Source organism: Homo sapiens, chromosome 4, assembly GCF_000001405.40.
Source record: "Homo sapiens chromosome 4, GRCh38.p14 Primary Assembly".
Lineage (NCBI taxonomy): Eukaryota > Metazoa > Chordata > Mammalia > Primates > Hominidae > Homo > Homo sapiens.
The window spans coordinates 38,116,228-38,133,561 of NC_000004.12; the positions used below are offsets into that span (position 1 = coordinate 38,116,228).

The 17,334-nt window shown below is 42.8% G+C and overlaps 1 protein-coding gene across 31 annotated transcripts in view, besides 8 other annotated features; it reads left to right on the plus strand.

Annotated features, from left to right (window-relative positions):
* Positions 1 to 17,334, plus strand: part of TBC1D1 (TBC1 domain family member 1) — a 248,090-nt gene that overhangs the window by 225,144 nt on the left and 5,612 nt on the right. For 29 of the 31 annotated variants that reach the window (XM_011513659.3, XM_011513660.4, XM_011513662.4 and 26 more), the window contains 3 exons: positions 1,806 to 1,965; positions 8,735 to 8,904; positions 16,857 to 17,030. In XM_011513659.3, coding sequence (XP_011511961.1) covers positions 1,806 to 1,965; positions 8,735 to 8,904; positions 16,857 to 17,030 — 504 coding nt within the window. Of the gene's footprint in view, positions 1 to 1,805; positions 1,966 to 3,726; positions 3,882 to 8,734; positions 8,905 to 16,856; positions 17,031 to 17,334 lie in introns of those variants that run through there. The other 2 variants (NM_001253915.2, NM_001253912.2) reach the window with 2 other exon arrangements.
* Positions 1,963 to 2,464: an enhancer, noted in NCBI's record as "H3K27ac hESC enhancer chr4:38119811-38120312 (GRCh37/hg19 assembly coordinates)". NCBI's record gives its function as "activates a minimal SCP1, AML or CMV promoter by ChIP-STARR-seq in primed H9 embryonic stem cells {active_cell/tissue: H9 hESC(primed)}" and the evidence as "EXISTENCE:reporter gene assay evidence [ECO:0000049][PMID:30033119]".
* Positions 2,096 to 2,265: an enhancer, noted in NCBI's record as "experimental_79418 CRE fragment used in MPRA reporter constructs". NCBI's record gives its function as "activates a minimal promoter by MPRAs in K562 erythroleukemia cells, with activity observed for both the introgressed and non-introgressed 4:38120029 variant alleles {active_cell/tissue: K562}" and the evidence as "EXISTENCE:reporter gene assay evidence [ECO:0000049][PMID:34662402]".
* Positions 11,926 to 12,779: an enhancer, noted in NCBI's record as "NANOG-H3K27ac-H3K4me1 hESC enhancer chr4:38129774-38130627 (GRCh37/hg19 assembly coordinates)". NCBI's record gives its function as "activates a minimal SCP1, AML or CMV promoter by ChIP-STARR-seq in primed H9 embryonic stem cells {active_cell/tissue: H9 hESC(primed)}" and the evidence as "EXISTENCE:reporter gene assay evidence [ECO:0000049][PMID:30033119]".
* Positions 12,500 to 12,659: an enhancer, noted in NCBI's record as "active region_21425". NCBI's record gives its function as "activates an Ori minimal core promoter by ATAC-STARR-seq in GM12878 lymphoblastoid cells {active_cell/tissue: GM12878}" and the evidence as "EXISTENCE:reporter gene assay evidence [ECO:0000049][PMID:35858748]".
* Positions 12,740 to 13,159: an enhancer, noted in NCBI's record as "active region_21426". NCBI's record gives its function as "activates an Ori minimal core promoter by ATAC-STARR-seq in GM12878 lymphoblastoid cells {active_cell/tissue: GM12878}" and the evidence as "EXISTENCE:reporter gene assay evidence [ECO:0000049][PMID:35858748]".
* Positions 12,740 to 13,632: a biological region, named in NCBI's record as "NANOG-H3K27ac-H3K4me1 hESC enhancer GRCh37_chr4:38130628-38131480".
* Positions 12,780 to 13,632: an enhancer, noted in NCBI's record as "NANOG-H3K27ac-H3K4me1 hESC enhancer chr4:38130628-38131480 (GRCh37/hg19 assembly coordinates)". NCBI's record gives its function as "activates a minimal SCP1, AML or CMV promoter by ChIP-STARR-seq in primed H9 embryonic stem cells {active_cell/tissue: H9 hESC(primed)}" and the evidence as "EXISTENCE:reporter gene assay evidence [ECO:0000049][PMID:30033119]".
* Positions 16,711 to 16,850: a silencer, noted in NCBI's record as "silent region_15358". NCBI's record gives its function as "represses an Ori minimal core promoter by ATAC-STARR-seq in GM12878 lymphoblastoid cells {active_cell/tissue: GM12878}" and the evidence as "EXISTENCE:reporter gene assay evidence [ECO:0000049][PMID:35858748]".

Sequence of the window (17,334 nt, forward strand, 5' to 3'; positions counted from 1 at the left end):
GCTGGACTGGAAACCCAGGCCTCTCTGACTCTAGGGCCTTCCCTCTTGCCCCCATCAGCCATCAGATGATCTCAGACCTACCTCCCAGCCTCTGCATCTGCTCTTCCTCTGCCTCACCCCCACCCTTGTCATCTCAGGTTCAGCTCAAATATCACATCCTGGGAGAAGCTCATTCTGACTACCCTGATGTTGTGTTCCCCACTTCCACCTTGGGCACACTGCGTCACGTTATCCTGGCTGATTTCTTTTGCACAACACAGCCACTGCCAGAAATGATCTTGTTTCCATAATCATCTCCCTGTCTATTTTCTGATTTTTCATAGCCTGTGAACTTTAGGAGAGGGAAGGGATCTTACGGGTCTTGGAGCCGAGTTCCTAGTTTCTGAAACAGTGCGTGGGTTGAAGTAGGCACCCCATAAGTATTTGTTGAATGAACAATTCTGTCAGAGAAAACCAAACACAGTAGCGTATTGCAAATACCACGTGCTGCTCTTGCTGCCTGTCAGAGGGAAAACTCTGGATCCTGCTTCAGGAATATTCCTAAATGTTGCAGCACATGTTGATATGTTCATTTACTACCAGTAAGATACTATGCCTTCAGAGCTCTAGAGAGTATCCTGGGAGGGAATACATTAGAGCCAAGGACTTGCTTTGAGAGCACCAAATTATGTGATTCAAAATCTTTTCACCTTGACCTGTGAACATGGACCACGTGAATGCAAATATCATAGAAGGAACTCATTCACTGAAAGATTTTGACCACATAACACTTTCCACATGTACTGTGAGGTTCTTCCTACATTCCCTTTATTAACTTTAAAGACAGTGGTCACCAGGCAGTGGAATTTTTGAGTTTTCTATAATTTATGTAACACACAACTCTTTTGGGGTGGTGCCTTTGGTTGATTAGACAGTCTTCGATATGGGAGAGCCACAGCTGGTGCTTATGGGATTATATTATCTGAGCCTCTGAAAACGGTTTTGTTTTCTTTCTCTCAGTTTAGATAGGACATATCCAACTTGGTGGATCTTAGCGGATTCTGACCCTCTGTAGGTTGTTGTTTCTTTAGGCTCAGGCCGTGGCACTGCTCAGATCTGGGCTGGCTCTCGGGCCTCTGTGAGCCTGTAACTCTTGGTGGCACTACTAGGAACTGGCATGAGATTTCTGCCAGAATCATGTCATTCTGTGAAGTTGGAGTTCCACTTTAGTTGGAAAAAGTTTTTATTTCATCTTAAGATGCACACTTGTCTTCTTGTTTTAACTTGCCAGGTATCTGGATATTCCATATATTATACACCAAAAGAAATTATGCTTCTCCTGCCTATTGAGTAATTTCAGGGGTCCAGAGGGAACTTGCTGAGTGAACATGTACAATGGATTCCTATGGAATCATAAGATGCCCCTAATTCAGTCTTAGTAAAGAGACTGGCTTCTTATTTCTAATTCCTCCAGGCTTGAGTTGTGCAAAGAGTATGTATTTGTAAGAGAATTTATGAAATGTTTGCACAAGACAGATTTTTAGATCTTCTTAGTGGAGGAATACAAGGGAACAATAAAAAGGAAGTGGCAGTAGAAGACCCAGCGTTAGCGTCCTGGGCCTACACCCAGCCAGTGCCTGGCACCAGCAGGCACTTGGGAAGCACTTGTTGGATGAATTAGTAGCTGAGCTCAGTGGATCGCAAGCCAAATCGAATGTTTAAAGTTCTAGTAAGTCTTCTCTTACACCCACCCTGTGAGCAGTAGGCATAACTTTATTGCTGTGGCAGATCCCTAATTCTCAGCCCTTGTGGCTGTCTTCCTGCAGATCCAGATGTACCAGCTCTCGAGGTTGCTTCATGATTACCACAGAGACCTCTACAATCACCTGGAGGAGCACGAGATCGGCCCCAGCCTCTACGCTGCCCCCTGGTTCCTCACCATGTTTGCCTCACAGTTCCCGCTGGGATTCGTAGCCAGAGTCTTTGGTGAGCATTAGTAAATCTGTTTGCCAGAACCAGCCTTCTCTTATTAGAGGGGAAACATTTCCTGTCTCTCCGTGGTGATTCTTATTTTTATACCTGTAGCTCTTACCAGAACAGGGTATTGTTTGATAGTCTAAGATTAGTCAGGGGTGGGTTTTGTGACTTTGGAGTCCTCCTTAACTTCTGATAATCACGGGGCTTCCCTAGATGCCTTCATCTTGTGGGATGTGGATCCGATCCGTGTAGATCCGATCGCTCACCATGAGGGTCTCCCTAGAGCAGACATTTGGAGGACTTGGCTGAGGAGCCACAGGTGTATGTTTCTCATGAATTGCCTTCCTCAGCCACTCTGGGTTGTGAGTATTGACTGATGCTGACTGTGGGCCTCTGGGCCCTTTCTAGATTCCCTTGGCATCTCTTCCTCCCCTTTCTCTTCTTGCCCTGCCCTTGGCTCTACACTTTCTCCCAAGTCACTGTCTTGGAGACCAGTGTCAGGACCTTGAGTAACACCTCCGTGTGGATGGCTCGCTCTCCCCGCTCAGCCTTGACACTTCATGAAGGCCTCTTGCCCCTGAGCCCACATGTCACAGCCACTGCCACTCCCGTGCCCCCGCTGTTAACCTTGGGTGGTTCACATGTAAAACCTGCCTTTATATTCTTGATTTACTTTTTGAGAACATTGTCAAAGTTAGGTGAGTGTTCATACACAAAGCCTTCAACCTGCCTTCATATGCAGGGATAGGGCTGTCCACGTGCGCATCAGGAACCGAGTGGAATGTTGTGAGCATGGTCAGTTCGGGCACAGTTTGTTTTCCCTACTGCAGAATAAAAGTGATATTTTTGACAATTCAGGTTCTTTTTTTTATTGTAAAGGAGGAGGCTACTAAAAAAATGATAGTTATTATATATCAAATGTTTTTAAGCATCACTTGACAGCTTAAAAACATGTGATCTTTAAAAAATTTGTTTTTATGATTAGAGAGCATCTTAAGGGAAATGTTCAAAGACATTGATACTACTTCAGACATGCTTTGGGTAAACATCTTAAATATCCAAATTCTAGAAATCCTAAAATTTGCTTTTTAATATAAGTGAGCATTTACCCTTCTTCTCTCTTTTCCTTTCCCCCCAAATACTAGATTTTTATTATTCACTTTTATCTACAAGAACCTTTAAAGAGTTTCCCATTTTGCTTTACTATAAGAATTCATATTCCTTCTTTTCTGTCCCTGAAAAAATAAAATCACTAAATTAAAATAGATACAAAAAGCTATCTCCTGGTTGAGCATATCTTTAGTGAGAGTTCATGAAGGTTTATACCATGGTTAAAAAAAAAAAAAGATTAACTAAAAGCCTCAAAATTGTGTGCTTAGTTTATTAACAAAAGAGTTACAGAAACTAAAATCTCAAGCTCTAGGCTTTAAGCTTTCTTGCCAATAACTTCTATGTTTTTGACTTCTCTAACACTGGAAATTAAAAGAAAATTATTAATCTACCTTCCTTACATTTTCTCCACATTTTAGCTATGATTTTCATACAGGGTCATGAAGAGGAGTGAGGATGGAAATGGGGAGGAGGGAGCGCTGTTTGTTAATGGTTTGTAAACAGCTCAGGCATTAAATTACTTGGTTAGTGAAGAAAATTCTACCAAGGCAACCAGGCTGACCACAGACTGGAGGGCTGAGGGGTCATCACTGAGTCATCTCTGCCCTGGGGCCCCAGGCACTGGAGCTGCTGCTTGCAGAAAGTTCTGGGGCTCTGGAAGAGAAATTTTTCCTTCGGCTCATAAATGGGTAAAAAGACGTTAACAAACAAGCAGACTCCACTTTGGAAATGATAGCCCTTCTATTGCAGAGTAATTTGAAGCTCTCTGAAGCTCACTCTAATGACTTCATAAATCAAAGCTGCAGCTTGTAAAGGTAAGATATTTTTCTGTAGACTTTGTAGGCAGTGGTGAGACTCGGAGTTTCATAAACATTATGCATAGAGATGCCAGTGTCTACATCATTCCTGGATCCCACAGACTCCTGCTGTGCTAAGTGGGTCGTTGTCCAGCTGGCCAAGGGCTCCTGGGATTAGAGGCGGGAAGTGGGATCTCAAGGCCGCACTGGCTTGTGATGTCACTTTGCAAGAACTGCTTTTTTTTCCACAGTCCATCCCATCTTTCAGTACTTAAAAACAGAAAAGATAGGTTTTTACAAACCATTTCTATTTTTAGCACTGATGACTTAGAGAATGGTGATGGAGATAGCTTAGTTTTATATTTCAAAGCCTGCCATTCAGTCACTATAGTCTTTTTTGGCCTAGGGCCCATTTCATTATAAGCCTTTAAGTCTGGATAAACTCTAAAAACATGTAGAACTTTGTTGACTAAGTAAAATATTTCAGTTTGCACCACCTTAGCTCATATATTAGTTAATAGGTTACCTGGCATTAAGTATGTATCTGCTCCTTGGAGGGGCGGCTGCCAGTGATGTGTGCGCCTTAACCTTCACATGATACTCACACCTTGCTGAATGGCAGTTCTTCTACCTGGTGTCACATAATGTCAATAGCCCCTTCCTGTATTTTTCTAGCTTGAGTACAGCAGGGCCCTGGGAGAGACGCTTGCTCTGTTCACTTTCTCATCACATCTACCTTTGGGGGAAGAAAAATCTAAAAAACAGGACCTGGCTTGCTCCTGATGGAGGAGGAGGCTGCAGTGTTCAGCCTCTGATGTTTTTCTATAGGACATGCTGCCAAATAGATGAGGGAGGAGGAGGAGTATAAAAACTAAGGGTTTGGCAAAAAACACAGAAGCCACCTGCAATATAGTGAAGGCTTCAGAGAGACTTTAGGATGAAAATAGACTGAAAACAAGATTGTTTCTGTGGCCAGGAAAATCTCCAGCTATTCAGGTGACATGATGCCGCGTGATGATGAGTGTGTCCAGTCTGTCTGTGCTGTTGTTCTGCACAGCACTGTCATCAGCCTTCAGCGTCCCCTTTACCCGTTACTCATAGAATGTAGCGGAGCCACGACTGGAGGACCGCAGCCTTCCAGAAGAAAGTTGAGAAGGCTCAGCCTTGACAAAGACAAAGGTGGCTGGAAAAAGAGATGCAGTGCAAGCTCACATAGGAAGATTGCACTTTGAGATCATGAAGTTTAGTTTCAAATAGAGTTCCAATACACAGTAACGCAATAAGAGGGTTGCTGAAATGTCCTCAAAGAAAAGCAGTTCCTTTGTGTTGTTCCCAGCGAATACAGTGCAAAGTAATAGAGTCAGCTGAATTTAAGATTCCTATTTCCTGCCGGATAAAACGTCTTGCCTGTTTCTAGGTGGCTTGAAAAAGGAGAGGAGAGAAGGAAGAGGCAGGAGAAAAGTCCCACTGAAAGGACGTGGGCTACAGTGTAGTGAGCTAGGCTACTGCCTCACTGCGCTGGGCGGCTCCAACAGTTCACTGTCTCCTAGGGAGGTTTTCAAATGCAGGACATTTGCTCACTTTTCCAAGGAGAGTTATTGTTTTTTTGTTTTGTTTTGTTTTGTTTTGTTTTAAAAAATTCCAGAATGTAAATGTATAAGATACCGGAAGACAGGCAAAATAAAAATAATTGGTTTGGGGCAGTGGGTTTATAGGTAACATTTTTCTTTACTATTGTTTTAAAATTAGATGTGATTTAAAAAAATTTCCAAAGCCAAAAAACGGTACAAATGCTTTAAAGGATGAAGATGTTGTCCCCAAGTGTCATCAGACAAATTTAGGAGGCCCTTCCTCCCAAGCAAAGCTTCCTGCAGTCCTTCCTTCAACTCTGAATTCAAGCACATTCCTGCATTGTGCACCCAAATGATCTCCCGATTTAAGACCCCCTGTGTCTCACAGAAGCTTCTGGGGCTGAACTTTCTCCGGCCTTGGAGGGTTGGACGCTTTGAATGGGAGGAGTGGTGGTGAGTGGAGCATCTCTGGCAGCAGGCATTTGGGAGTCTCTGGCAGGAATCAATCAGCGTAGTCTCCAAAGGTGGCCTTTCTCTGACACTAACTAGCCCTTGCAGGGGTCATACCCATAACCTGCATCTCATTAACATCATCTCCTTACCAGTGCACTGACCTAGTGAGAAAAGGAACAATAAGCATTCAGCGACTCCTGCGGTGCTCCAGGGGAAGTTAGAATTGCTTGGCTGGGGCAGAGGCCCCTGGTGATCTGGACCTGCGTGCCCCCATTTGCCCACCTTCTGCCCTGCACAACCAGTGCCCCTGCCTTGCCAGCCAGACTGTTTTTCAGGCTCCTGCACACCTCCCTGTATTGACACCCTATTTTCCTTTTATTCAGAGTATTAATCCTGAGGTCTGACCTAGGAAATTTTCATTGGTTCTTCAAGCAGTCACCTTTCTGTGGGCCTTTTCTTTCCTCTTTGTTCTCGTAACACCCTGGGCATAACTCTACCGAACCAGAACTCCTTGGTGTCTCTGCAGCGTGTTCTTTGTGTTTTGCTCATGGCTTAATCTCCAGAGCCTAATACAGTGCCTGATGTGTATTAGATGCTCAATAGATGCTCATTAAGTTAAAGTAGAAGACACCTCTCAGCAGAGTTCTCTTAAGGTGTTGTGAATAGCATTGGGAAAGAACATTTATTTTTTAATTACATTAAATACAAACAGATATAATAAAATAAATCATATGCCCAGTGCTATGTCTTAATTTTTTAACATATCAATAAAGAGACTTTAAAACACATAACACCACCCTCTCCCCTCCAAATTTCCTTTCCGGGAAAGTCTCCTTTTGGAATCATAGGAAGCACTTACTAAGTTGATTTATTGTAAAAAAACCAAGATCCTAATAAATCTCAGAAGATCTCCTGTTAACCTAAAGAGACCACTGATGTGGATTCTGTATTTGGTTGTGCTGACAAAAGTTTCCCAGTAATTGTTTATTTTAATTGGCGTAGATGTGGTACTGTACCTAATTTAAGGCACTTGTCCCTCTGAGAGTAGAGACCAAGCTATAGAAAATCACTGGTGTTGTAGGGAAAGCCTTTCCCCAGGATCCCTGCAAAAAAGGTCTTGATTTTTATTCTGAAAGATGCCCTCATTTTTTGTTCAGCTATAAAAGTTCATATATTGAAAGGAGGTCTAGGAAGTCTCACTGTGTAAACCACTGAAACTTCAAATTTACTTTAGAGTTTTGTTTCTGGAAATGTCATTTCTGTTTAAAAATACATCTTTGTTATAGTATTATTTTAGATCTTTTTATTTTCTGTAGTGGGGAATTATACAGGTAGACTACATTTTATAAACCAGATATTTCAGAGGAATATTCTTCAATTGGCCTGCCTTGGTGTATGTAACACTTACCCTGAAAAGCTCTGATTTCAAAGACACAGTTAGTTCTCTAGTATATCTTCCCAGCCTCAACAACCAGACTTAAGAAGGAAGTGAAGGATTCATCTTCCCCACTTTCCTGCGGCCACCCTGAGCCATCAGTAGTTGTGATGTTTGTGGAAAGAGTGTGGACCCTGAGCTGGGTGGGAGAAGCAGGCTGATCTCAGCGCTGGCATGGCTTAGGGCTGCACCCATCTCAGCTCACATGGTTAATTAAGGGTTTTGTGGTGGTTACAGAGGATCTCGAGGGCTATCCCAGCCAGCGGGCTCCTGGGTCTGTCATCTCTGCCTGTGCTTTGTTCAGAAACTACAGGGATTCAGTTTCCCATTTGCACAGCAGCACCCAGTCTTTGCTTTTCTGTTTCTTCGTGGCTTTTAAATGTTATCATATTAACCATCTAGAGAGGCACCCTGCAAGGTTATTCCTCTCACCTGCTTTTGCTTTCCTTGATTTGATGAAATTTACAGCTTCTTTCTCTCTTCCATTATCTTTCAGCCAAAAGAAACAGAGAAAAGAAATACTGACACTTGCCTCCAATTATATTTCTACTCTGATTTTTAAAATTGTTTTTTTCTTATATTATTATTCTAGTTATTAGGTAACCTGCCTCAGTTTAGTCAACCAATAATTAGTTATCGTGGCTCTGCTTTAACCCCAGGACATCGACTCTTTTTTTCCCCAGCAGCTTCAACTCTATGAGGAAGGTGAGACAGGGCTAGGGTTGCTGCTCGGCCGCTTGCCTTGGCCGGTGCCCTCCCTCTTATTCTGCAGTCTGTATAGAAGTTGCATCCATTTGCCAGCCACTCTAAGAACAAAATATGGCCAGAACTAGGAAGTAACCTTGACAGAGTTCTTGAACTCCTCAGAGGGAAAAATGTTCTTTATTCCATTATCATGTTAAAAATCAGTAAACTTGTATTTAACAAAGTACTTCTGCAGTTGTACAGCTGTTGTACAGTTTTTAAAGATCTTTGAATTCTATTCCTTGTTTCAAAACAGAGGAAACAGAGACACTTTTTCACTTACTCTATCTTAATTTCTGATGCTTTATCTATAAAAATCTTTTAGTGTGACCCATAAAAACATGTTTTAGTATCTCCTTTAAAACCCAGGAGCATTCCTGGAAAAATAGACTAATAAAACCTTTTTCCCTTTCCCAGTTTAACTTTTGAAGCATGTTTGAATTTTATTTTCAGAGTAAAACATAATTTTTAATGTTTATGTACTTTTATTTGCAATACTGTCTTGACAACACTGTCTGAGATATCAGGCTCTTAAAAATGAAATAAAGTTTGCAATGTGGGGCTATGTCTCCCACACTCCTGCTCTGTGATGTGTGGAAAAGGCAATGGAATGGTATTGCGTGAGAAACTGGTCTGGTTTAACTTTCTGCATTTCTGTGTTTTCTCAGATATGATTTTTCTTCAGGGAACAGAGGTCATATTTAAAGTGGCTTTAAGTCTGTTGGGAAGCCATAAGCCCTTGATTCTGCAGCATGAAAACCTAGAAACCATAGTTGACTTTATAAAAAGCACGCTACCCAACCTTGGCTTGGTACAGATGGAAAAGACCATCAATCAGGTATGAGTCAGTCCAAACCTTGCAAATGCTTAAGCCATCCTAGATATGTAGAAACTTAAATCTCTCTTGAGCAGGAACTGTTTCCTACCACTTTGTGTTCTGAACGGCATTCTGCATGATGCCTGGCATGGAGGAGGCATATCACAAACGTGTGGAATGATCGTGAGTGTGTGTGTTGTGAGCGTCATGGTGAAATGCCACATGGAAACATGGTGGCAATGTTTAGCTGTAGAAACCAGCACAGGTTATTAGTAGTTTCTTACATTTAAGAGACTTCAGCTCTAGTAGCTTGTTCTTCTGAAACATATATATATTTATGCAATGATGCAATGTAGGGTTTTGTACATTGAGTGCTTTGATTTGTGTGTGTGTATGTTGAATGGTTTTAATTGGAATTTTCTCCAAATAATTCTTTGATAACAAAGTTATGATAGGGAACATATATTCTATGAATTTGTTTCATGATGTGTGTGTGTGGTTTTTTTTTAACTGAATTCAGTTCAATATCTGTGGCTTCATTACCTCTGGTTTCAGTATACAATAGAACCATTATCCTCTGAAGTGTTAGAGGCTGAGAGGTGAGTTTTACTGGGAATTACAACTAAACTAGATGGTGAATGCCCTGGGTTGGGCATGGGAGCAGATTTTGATCCTGTACAGTTTAAGGAAGAACCTGCCAGTAATGGCTGCTGATGATGGAGGACTATGCTCCTTAGTAGAGAAAGGGGCATCATTGGAAGTGTCTAGAGGCTGGGTAGCTACGAAAGCACTGGAAGGGATTTCATCATTGAGTCACTGCAGAGTCAGCAGTCAAGCCTCTCATAAGCCTAGAATCTGCTCCAGATAGTCATGTGTCACTTAATAATAGCAATACGTTTTGAGAACTGCATCATTAGGTGATTTCATCATTGTGCAAACTTCATAAAGTGTACTTAAACCCAAGTGGTATAGCCTACTACACACCTACACATGTTGTTCCTAGGCCCTACAAATCTGTATGACATGTGACTATACTGAATACTGTTGGTAGTTGTAACACAAGGTGGAGTATTTGTGTATCTAAACATAACTAAACATAGAAAAGGTACAATAAAAATATGGTATTCTAATCTTATGGGACCACCATCATATATGCAGTTCGCCATTGACCAAAATGTTGTAATGCAACACACAACTGTGTAACGAAAGCATAGAGCAATCAGGCAAAAACAAATGGTGAAATAAAGCTATTTTTGAAAAATCCTTACTCTGGAGATTTCTGTAGTCCAAAAGGAATCCATGATTCCAGTGGATTGCATCCACATGCAGTGTTTGTGATTTTCATTTGCAGCCACACCTTAGGTGTTAAGCACAGAAAAAGATGCAAATTTGGCCTGCAAAAGAAAGAGGTTTCATACCAGTTGTTAACTTTAGATTTCTGTTTGCACATTGCATATGCCCTTATGAAAGAACAGTTCTTGTCTGTTCTGCACTCATCTTTAATTGAGAGCCTCTCCATCTCTTTTCCTTCCCTGGAACACTCTTCTTGATGTGGATAGCTTTGGCTTGTTGGGGCCTTGCTTTTTGCCAGGTTGGGTGGGCATCGAAATATACGCATGATCCCATTCAGTGCAGGCCGCACTCCTGAGAGGATATAAAGTGGTTCACTGACTGACCCACACTCACTCTGCTGCAAAGTGGAAAGGTAGGGGTTCAAACTCAAGTCCCTCCCACCTCAAAGTGCTTTAGCAGCTCTCCTACACTGCCAAGAGCCTCTGGAGGTCATTTAATTTAGAGTTTTTCCCTATTTTACCAGGATTCTAATACTGACTTCTCCACCCTTTTGATTCTTTGATTTCTGGCATTTTCATTCATTCTTTCTTTCATTCATTCTCTTCTTACAGCTTTTGTTGCATGTACTTACTTACATTTACAGCTTCTAGGGCAGACCCCCGAGAGCCTTGGTTACCTAGACTGAGGGCTATATCCACTACCTGACATGTCACCTTGCTCCTGTCCCTCAGGCCATCCCAGCTGACATTGTTTACCTCCTAAGTATTGAGCCTCAGAAAAAAATCCCATTGTCTCCTATTTTCTGTAAAAAACAAAAAATAAAACGTATTGAGAATACTTAGGATACATCAGGTGCTGTTTCAGTGCTGGAAGAGTGGAAATGGACACAGCATGGGAAGAAAATAGCTGTGCGTGTACCTGGTTTGTTTCAAGCCGCTATCTGGCTATTTGGAAGTTGCCATTCATTTTTCCACTGACTTTTTTTTTTTTTTTTTTTTTGAGACAGAGTCTTGCTCTGCTACCCAGGCTGGAATGCGGTGGTGTGATCTTGGCTCACTGCAACCTCCACCTTCTGGGCTCAAGCATTCTCGTGCCTCAGCTTCCTGAGTACCTGGGACTATAGGCATGTGCCACCACGCTCAGCTAATTTTTGTATTTTTAGTAGAGGTGGGGTTTCGCCATGTTGGCCAGGCTGGTCTTGAACTCCTGGCCTCAAGTGATCCACCTGCCTCATCCTCCCAAAGTGCTGGGATTACATGCATGAGCCACTGTGCCCGACCTCCACTGACTTAATAACTCTAGGACATAGGTATTATAATTCCTATTTTTATAGATGAAGCTGAGCAGAGAGTAACATGCCCGGCCCCTTGTAGAAAGGCAGGGTCTGTGGGAGCCAGGGCTGTGAGGTTGGAGCTGAGGTGTTTGAGTCCAGCTGGACTTAAAAGATGACCTAAGATCGGCTGGCAGACATTTTCCAAAGAAGGCCAGGCAGTATATATTTTAGGCTTCACGGGTCATAACGTCACAACTACTCACCTCTGCGACAGCTACTCACCTCGGCCTTTGCAGCACAAACAATCCATGACAGCATGTAAGGGGATGATGGGTCATGTTGCAAAAATCTTTATTTTAAAAACTGTGCAGCGTGATGGGCTTGGTCCACAGGTGGTGGTTTGCTGATCCCTGAACTAAAGGATCACAGCATGTGAGAAGGTACAGGAATGAGAGCAGAGAGCAATTCTCAGAACCTGAGGTGTTCAACATTTTGGGGGTATCGGGAGCACAAAAATTTGCATTTAGGGCCCGGGTTTTTATCAGTGGTCCTTATAGAAAGTAGATCTACCCGCATCTCTCCCCTCTTTCCCTCTGGTGTTTCTATCTGAACTTGACATCTGAGTGTTCTCTGTCAGGCTTTCTGCTTTCCTACTGCCCCCTCCCATCCAGAGGGTGCTGTAGTCTTAAGTTCTACACAGAAAGCAGACATGGGGTCCAGCATGATTCCTCTGCAGCCTTAGAGATCCCCCAGGCCCAAATCTTGGGGGTCTTCAGAGTAGATGTAATGGATGCTTCCATTGCAGATGGTGGAGCATACTGCCCTGTGTACAGATGGGGTGGGGCAGGAAGTGAGGGCATCTGGGTGGTCCTCTGTGATAGCTGTGGTTCCATTTCATTAAATGCCTTCCCTGTATAGATAGTCTCAGCCTGAGCAACTGGGACACAGCTGGATCCTGGGTGGAAGAGGTGGCCAAGGACAGGGCTCTGGAGCTCTGGCTCAATGTGGACAGGCTGAAAGCAGCCAGAGAGGGCAATTCCAAAGGTGACAGAGCCCAGGACAGAAGACCAAGGGTGTCTGAAGCCTTTGTGGCAGTGTACTTACCAAAGGACCTGTCCATTGAATAAACCATCTACATCTTCTGACCCAAGAAGAATGGAAACTTTGGGAATAATTAGTAACAAAGGAAAGGAGGTCAGTGTTGTATTCTTGTCACAGTGGGTGCTCTGTGGCTGTGAAGTCTCAGCTCAGTTTAAGGAAGAAAAAGAGGAAGGGTGGCTGTGGGAGGCAGGGCAAATAGCCTATTTTCAGCATCCTTTAGGCTCCACTCAGAGCATGGCCTCAGCCCAGCATTGTCATCATATCATGTCAGAGCTTGTTAGAAACTCAGCATCTGGGGCCACACCCGAGACCTGCTGAATCAGAATCTGCATTTCAGTGAGATCACCAGGGGATTCACATACACACAAACAGCTGAGAAACCCTGCTGTGGGCAACTCTGTTAGAAACACAATGAACAAAGGAGCCCCTGTTCCAGTTGAGCTTGTAGGTTAGAAACCAGGGTTCCTGTATTCAGAAGACACACCTCAAATCAGGGGCAAAGGTGCCTCTTCTGCCTGTGGGGGAGCCGTCACTTCTTGGGCAGTTTGCACCGTGGAAAAGGAGTAGTTTTGTACGAGGACAACTGGTGCCATACCAGGAGGGTGGGGCGTGGCGGGGAGAAGTGGTTTACCACTGGCGTTGTTGAAAATTGCTCACATGCAGTGGTAATAACAAGCAGAGGGACTTTTAGTGGGTTTGATGTTTTTTGTAATTCACTACAGATAGTGTGTGCCCCCTTGTTGCTGATACCAGGCCGACTGTTCCCACTCTCCAGCCCTTGGTATGACAATGGGACCAGCAGATTGGAGGGCAGGGGGTTAGGAAGGCGGAAGCTCTGTGGCGAGTTCTGCAAACCATCAGGGTTCATGACTTTATTAATCAGTGTCCATGGACTGTGAAGAGAAATGCTGAGTCTACAATAGCAAATGAGCCAAGAACATAAACAGACAATTCACCGAAGAGGAGATATCTAGTAAACAAATATCTGGGAAAGTATTTGGCTTCATGTGTAATTTAAACTTATGTAACATATAATGCTTTACTCTACTAGATAATAGAAAGACATTTCTTGATGCCAGTACCCAGCACCAAGGGTATACTGTATGCAGAACATTAGCATGTTGCTGATGGCAGTGCACATTGATTAGTGGCTGTTGGGAGACAATTTGGCGAAACATATCCCAAGCCAGTAAAATATTCATACCCTTTGACTCAGTCATCCCGTTTCTTGGAATGTATCCTCAGGAAATAATCCAAAATATGAGGGAAGCCATATGTATAAGGTTATTCTCCTAGACTTGTCACTTATAATAACAGAAACTTGGAACTAGATGTCTAACACTTGATGACTGGATTAATATGATGATGGTAGGTTGAGCTGGTAGAATATCATGAAGCCAGTTATATATAGCGACATGAAAAAGCTCTTATTTGATACAATGTTAAGTAAAGGAAAAGTGGGATAGGAAATTTTATGTTGGTTATGTTTAGAACTAGAAAAACATGCTTTTAGGAAATAGGAAATATAGCTAGATATAAAAGTTGTATTTGGTGATTTTTCTTTTATTTTTCAAGCTTCCAATAATGTAGCTCTATTGCTTCAGTAACTTAAAATAGTTTTATCTTTTCGGCAAAACATCGAAAGTATGGAAATAGTCATTCCTACTTTGGCAAACAGAAGAGAAATTTTCTTCAGTACCAAAATTCTGGAACTTGACTGAAAACTATGAAGAACCTAAGAGCCAGGATGACAGGAAGGCTCTAGATCCCCAGTAATTACAACTCTAGTGGAATTGCTCTGAGATGGGCCAGCAAGAAAGAAGATGAGAGCCAGTCCCCCTTGCAGAGGGGCCAGGTACCTTGCAGCTTTGTGTAGTGACCAGTGCTCAGGGAACGGCTTAGGCAAGACCCTGGGGGAGGTGGGCACTGCACTTGTCCAGCCTCAGGAGTGACTCAGACCAGAAATGAAAACACCTTAAAGTGTATATATCTTGTTTTCCTATCAACACCTAGTTTTTAATATTCGTCTGTTTTATTCATCTGAGACAACATACCAAAGGATTGGGTTTTTAATGTTAGGCCTTCCTGCTCTTTCTCTGGCTGAGAACTGCTCCTGGCAGTGGATCACTTGTGCTGTCTAAGTGTGCAAGGACAGGCGCCCCTCCCAATTCTTTTCTTTCCCCAAGTAATTAGCCCAAGGGCTGAAGCCCTCGTTCAGTGACCAGGGTTCTCCTTTGACCACCAGCCTCATATTGCCATGGTTTGGGGTAAATTCAGGGGCATAACTGCAGAATGAAGGGCCTAGGAGTCTTGGCAGTCAGGAGATCATCAGGCAATTAAGCAGAGATGATTGTGACCCAGGGTGGTTCCTAGGGATTAATGGAGGCCTGGAAGAGTTTATGGCTTTGGGTACTGCTGAGAGCCATTAACTTAACACAGAACATCAATCCGTAGGAAAAGCCAGAGGTTTTGTTCCCAGGCTTTCCAGGTTAGGAGATCACTTAAATCTTTGTGAAAGAAAAAAAGTAATAGTGTACATGACATTTATTCAGCACCATATTTATAATTATACATGAGTGCCAAACAATCTCAGTTTTAACATTTGTGGTTTTTACTGTTCAGACTATTCAGAAGTTCCATGACGTGGCATCCATTGATGATGGTTTTGCTGAGGTTGAAATGTGAGGGTTTTGTGGCAGGTGTGTGGAAGCAGATCCCTTAGCTAAGAGAGCGCCTGCTCAACCTGCCAGGCGTGTGCTGGGAACTTCCAGGAGTTGCCTCGTTTAATTCTCACAGCCATCCTGGGAGGTAGGCGCTGTCTGCCCCAGGTGGGAGGCCAGGAACTGTGGCTGAGAGAGGTTAAGTACCGAGCTCAAGTCATTCATAGAGTCGCCAGTGGAGCCGCAATTTTAAGGCTGACTCAAAGCCTCTGAGCCAGTTACCTCGGCTGTCAAATGGAGATAATAATCCCTGCTGACCTCACGGTCGCTCTGAAGGACAAAAGAGAATCAGTTCAATCCAGTAAACAATTCTCTCTCTCCCTCTTACTCCCCTCGCACACATGCACACACACCCCACAGATATAATGGATTTTAGTTTTTAGGCATCAAATGACTTTTGTGCCTTATTAATATTATCCACTGAATCAAAAACAGCAAGCTGAAAAATTCATCTCAAGGAAGAGAAAATAAGATTGTTGGGAATGGTGAGAAAGGAAACATGGTTTTTGAAAATTGATTCCAGGGAAGATAGGCTAGTTTGAATGCCAGTAGGGAGCCATCAGAAGAAGTAGTTTTACACTGATTTTTAACAATATTGGAGTTGCTTAAGGCAATGCAATAGAGAGGCAGTTTCTGCCCTTTTAAAGCCTGACTTCACTTTCTGAATGTGTGTTCTGATCTAGCAGGGTTTTTTTTTTTTTTCTTTTAAGATGGTCCCAGCTTGACTGCATTCTCAGATCCATCAGATAAACGTTAGGGCTTCACTGCTGTGCTGAGAGGCCCCAGCCCCTGGGGTTCTCTCATAGAAACAACTGGAAAGAAAGGAAATGCCTTGGGCAGCAGCAGCAGCAGCTGTCTTCTGATTCTGCTTTCCGCCCTGCCTTCCTTACCAAGAGAAAGTACAGACACGGACGGCTTGAGTCACTTAGGCACTTAGGAGTTGTTTTTCACACGTGTGGTGTTTTCGTCACCATTACTATTGTGGGAAAGAAGACAACTCAGGCATCGTTTCGTATTCACTCATCTGTGTGGGTGACATGTGGGTTTTGGCTCATTTCTGCATATTTGTGTGCAAAGGAGAGTTTTTTAGTAAACAGTCCCATTACTTAGCTGTTCTTGTAACTCTGAAAACCCAACTGAACTATAATTAAACTTTGACTTGGTGACTCTGCAAACAGGCTATGATTCTTTTGTTTCTTTTCTCCTTTTAACCCATAGTTGATGTATCTAACCTAACAGAATTTTCAGAGAAAAGAAGTGAAATAAGAACTAAAAATAAATTTTTATGTCTTTAAAAATGAGAGGTTTTTTTTTTTTTTTTGGCTTTTGGAAGGTGAGTATCAAAAACCTGTACTTAATGTTACCTTGGAATTATTTCTAGATGTTTCTTATATCCTTTTGTCCCAAGTAAAATTATTACCTTCTCAGTGCGTAGTTTTTCTTATTTATTACTTCTAGTACCAAGTGTAGAGCTAAGCGTAGAGGAGACGCTTCACAGGTGCGCATTGTCGTGATTGCAGACGCCTGCCTGTACTTGTGGGGTTTTTCTCAGTTTTAGTACGTGATGACTTTTCTTTCTATAACAGGTATTTGAAATGGACATCGCTAAACAGTTACAAGCTTATGAAGTTGAGTACCACGTCCTTCAAGAAGAACTTATCGATTCCTCTCCTCTCAGTGACAACCAAAGAATGGATAAATTAGAGAAAACCAACAGCAGCTTACGCAAACAGAACCTTGACCTCCTTGAACAGTTGCAGGTAGAGCATATTTATAAAGCAGCTTCCTGAATCACAAATATATGGTAGTTCATTAACTCACCAAAGGCAACAGCAGGCTGGGCTTTCCCATGACCAGAGGACCTTTCCCACCCTGATCTGTTTATAGTTGGGATCAAAGGTATCCCGGGAGAATGGGTCCTTTTTATTATGGAGCAGACAGATTGTCCTTTGCTAAGGTCAGGCAGTCCCAGAGCTTTCTGAGAGGCTGTTTCTGCACTTAACTCTTTTAGGGGACAGGCCCAGAGATGAACTTGGATTCAGGATGCCGTGGCCTGTTAGCTGA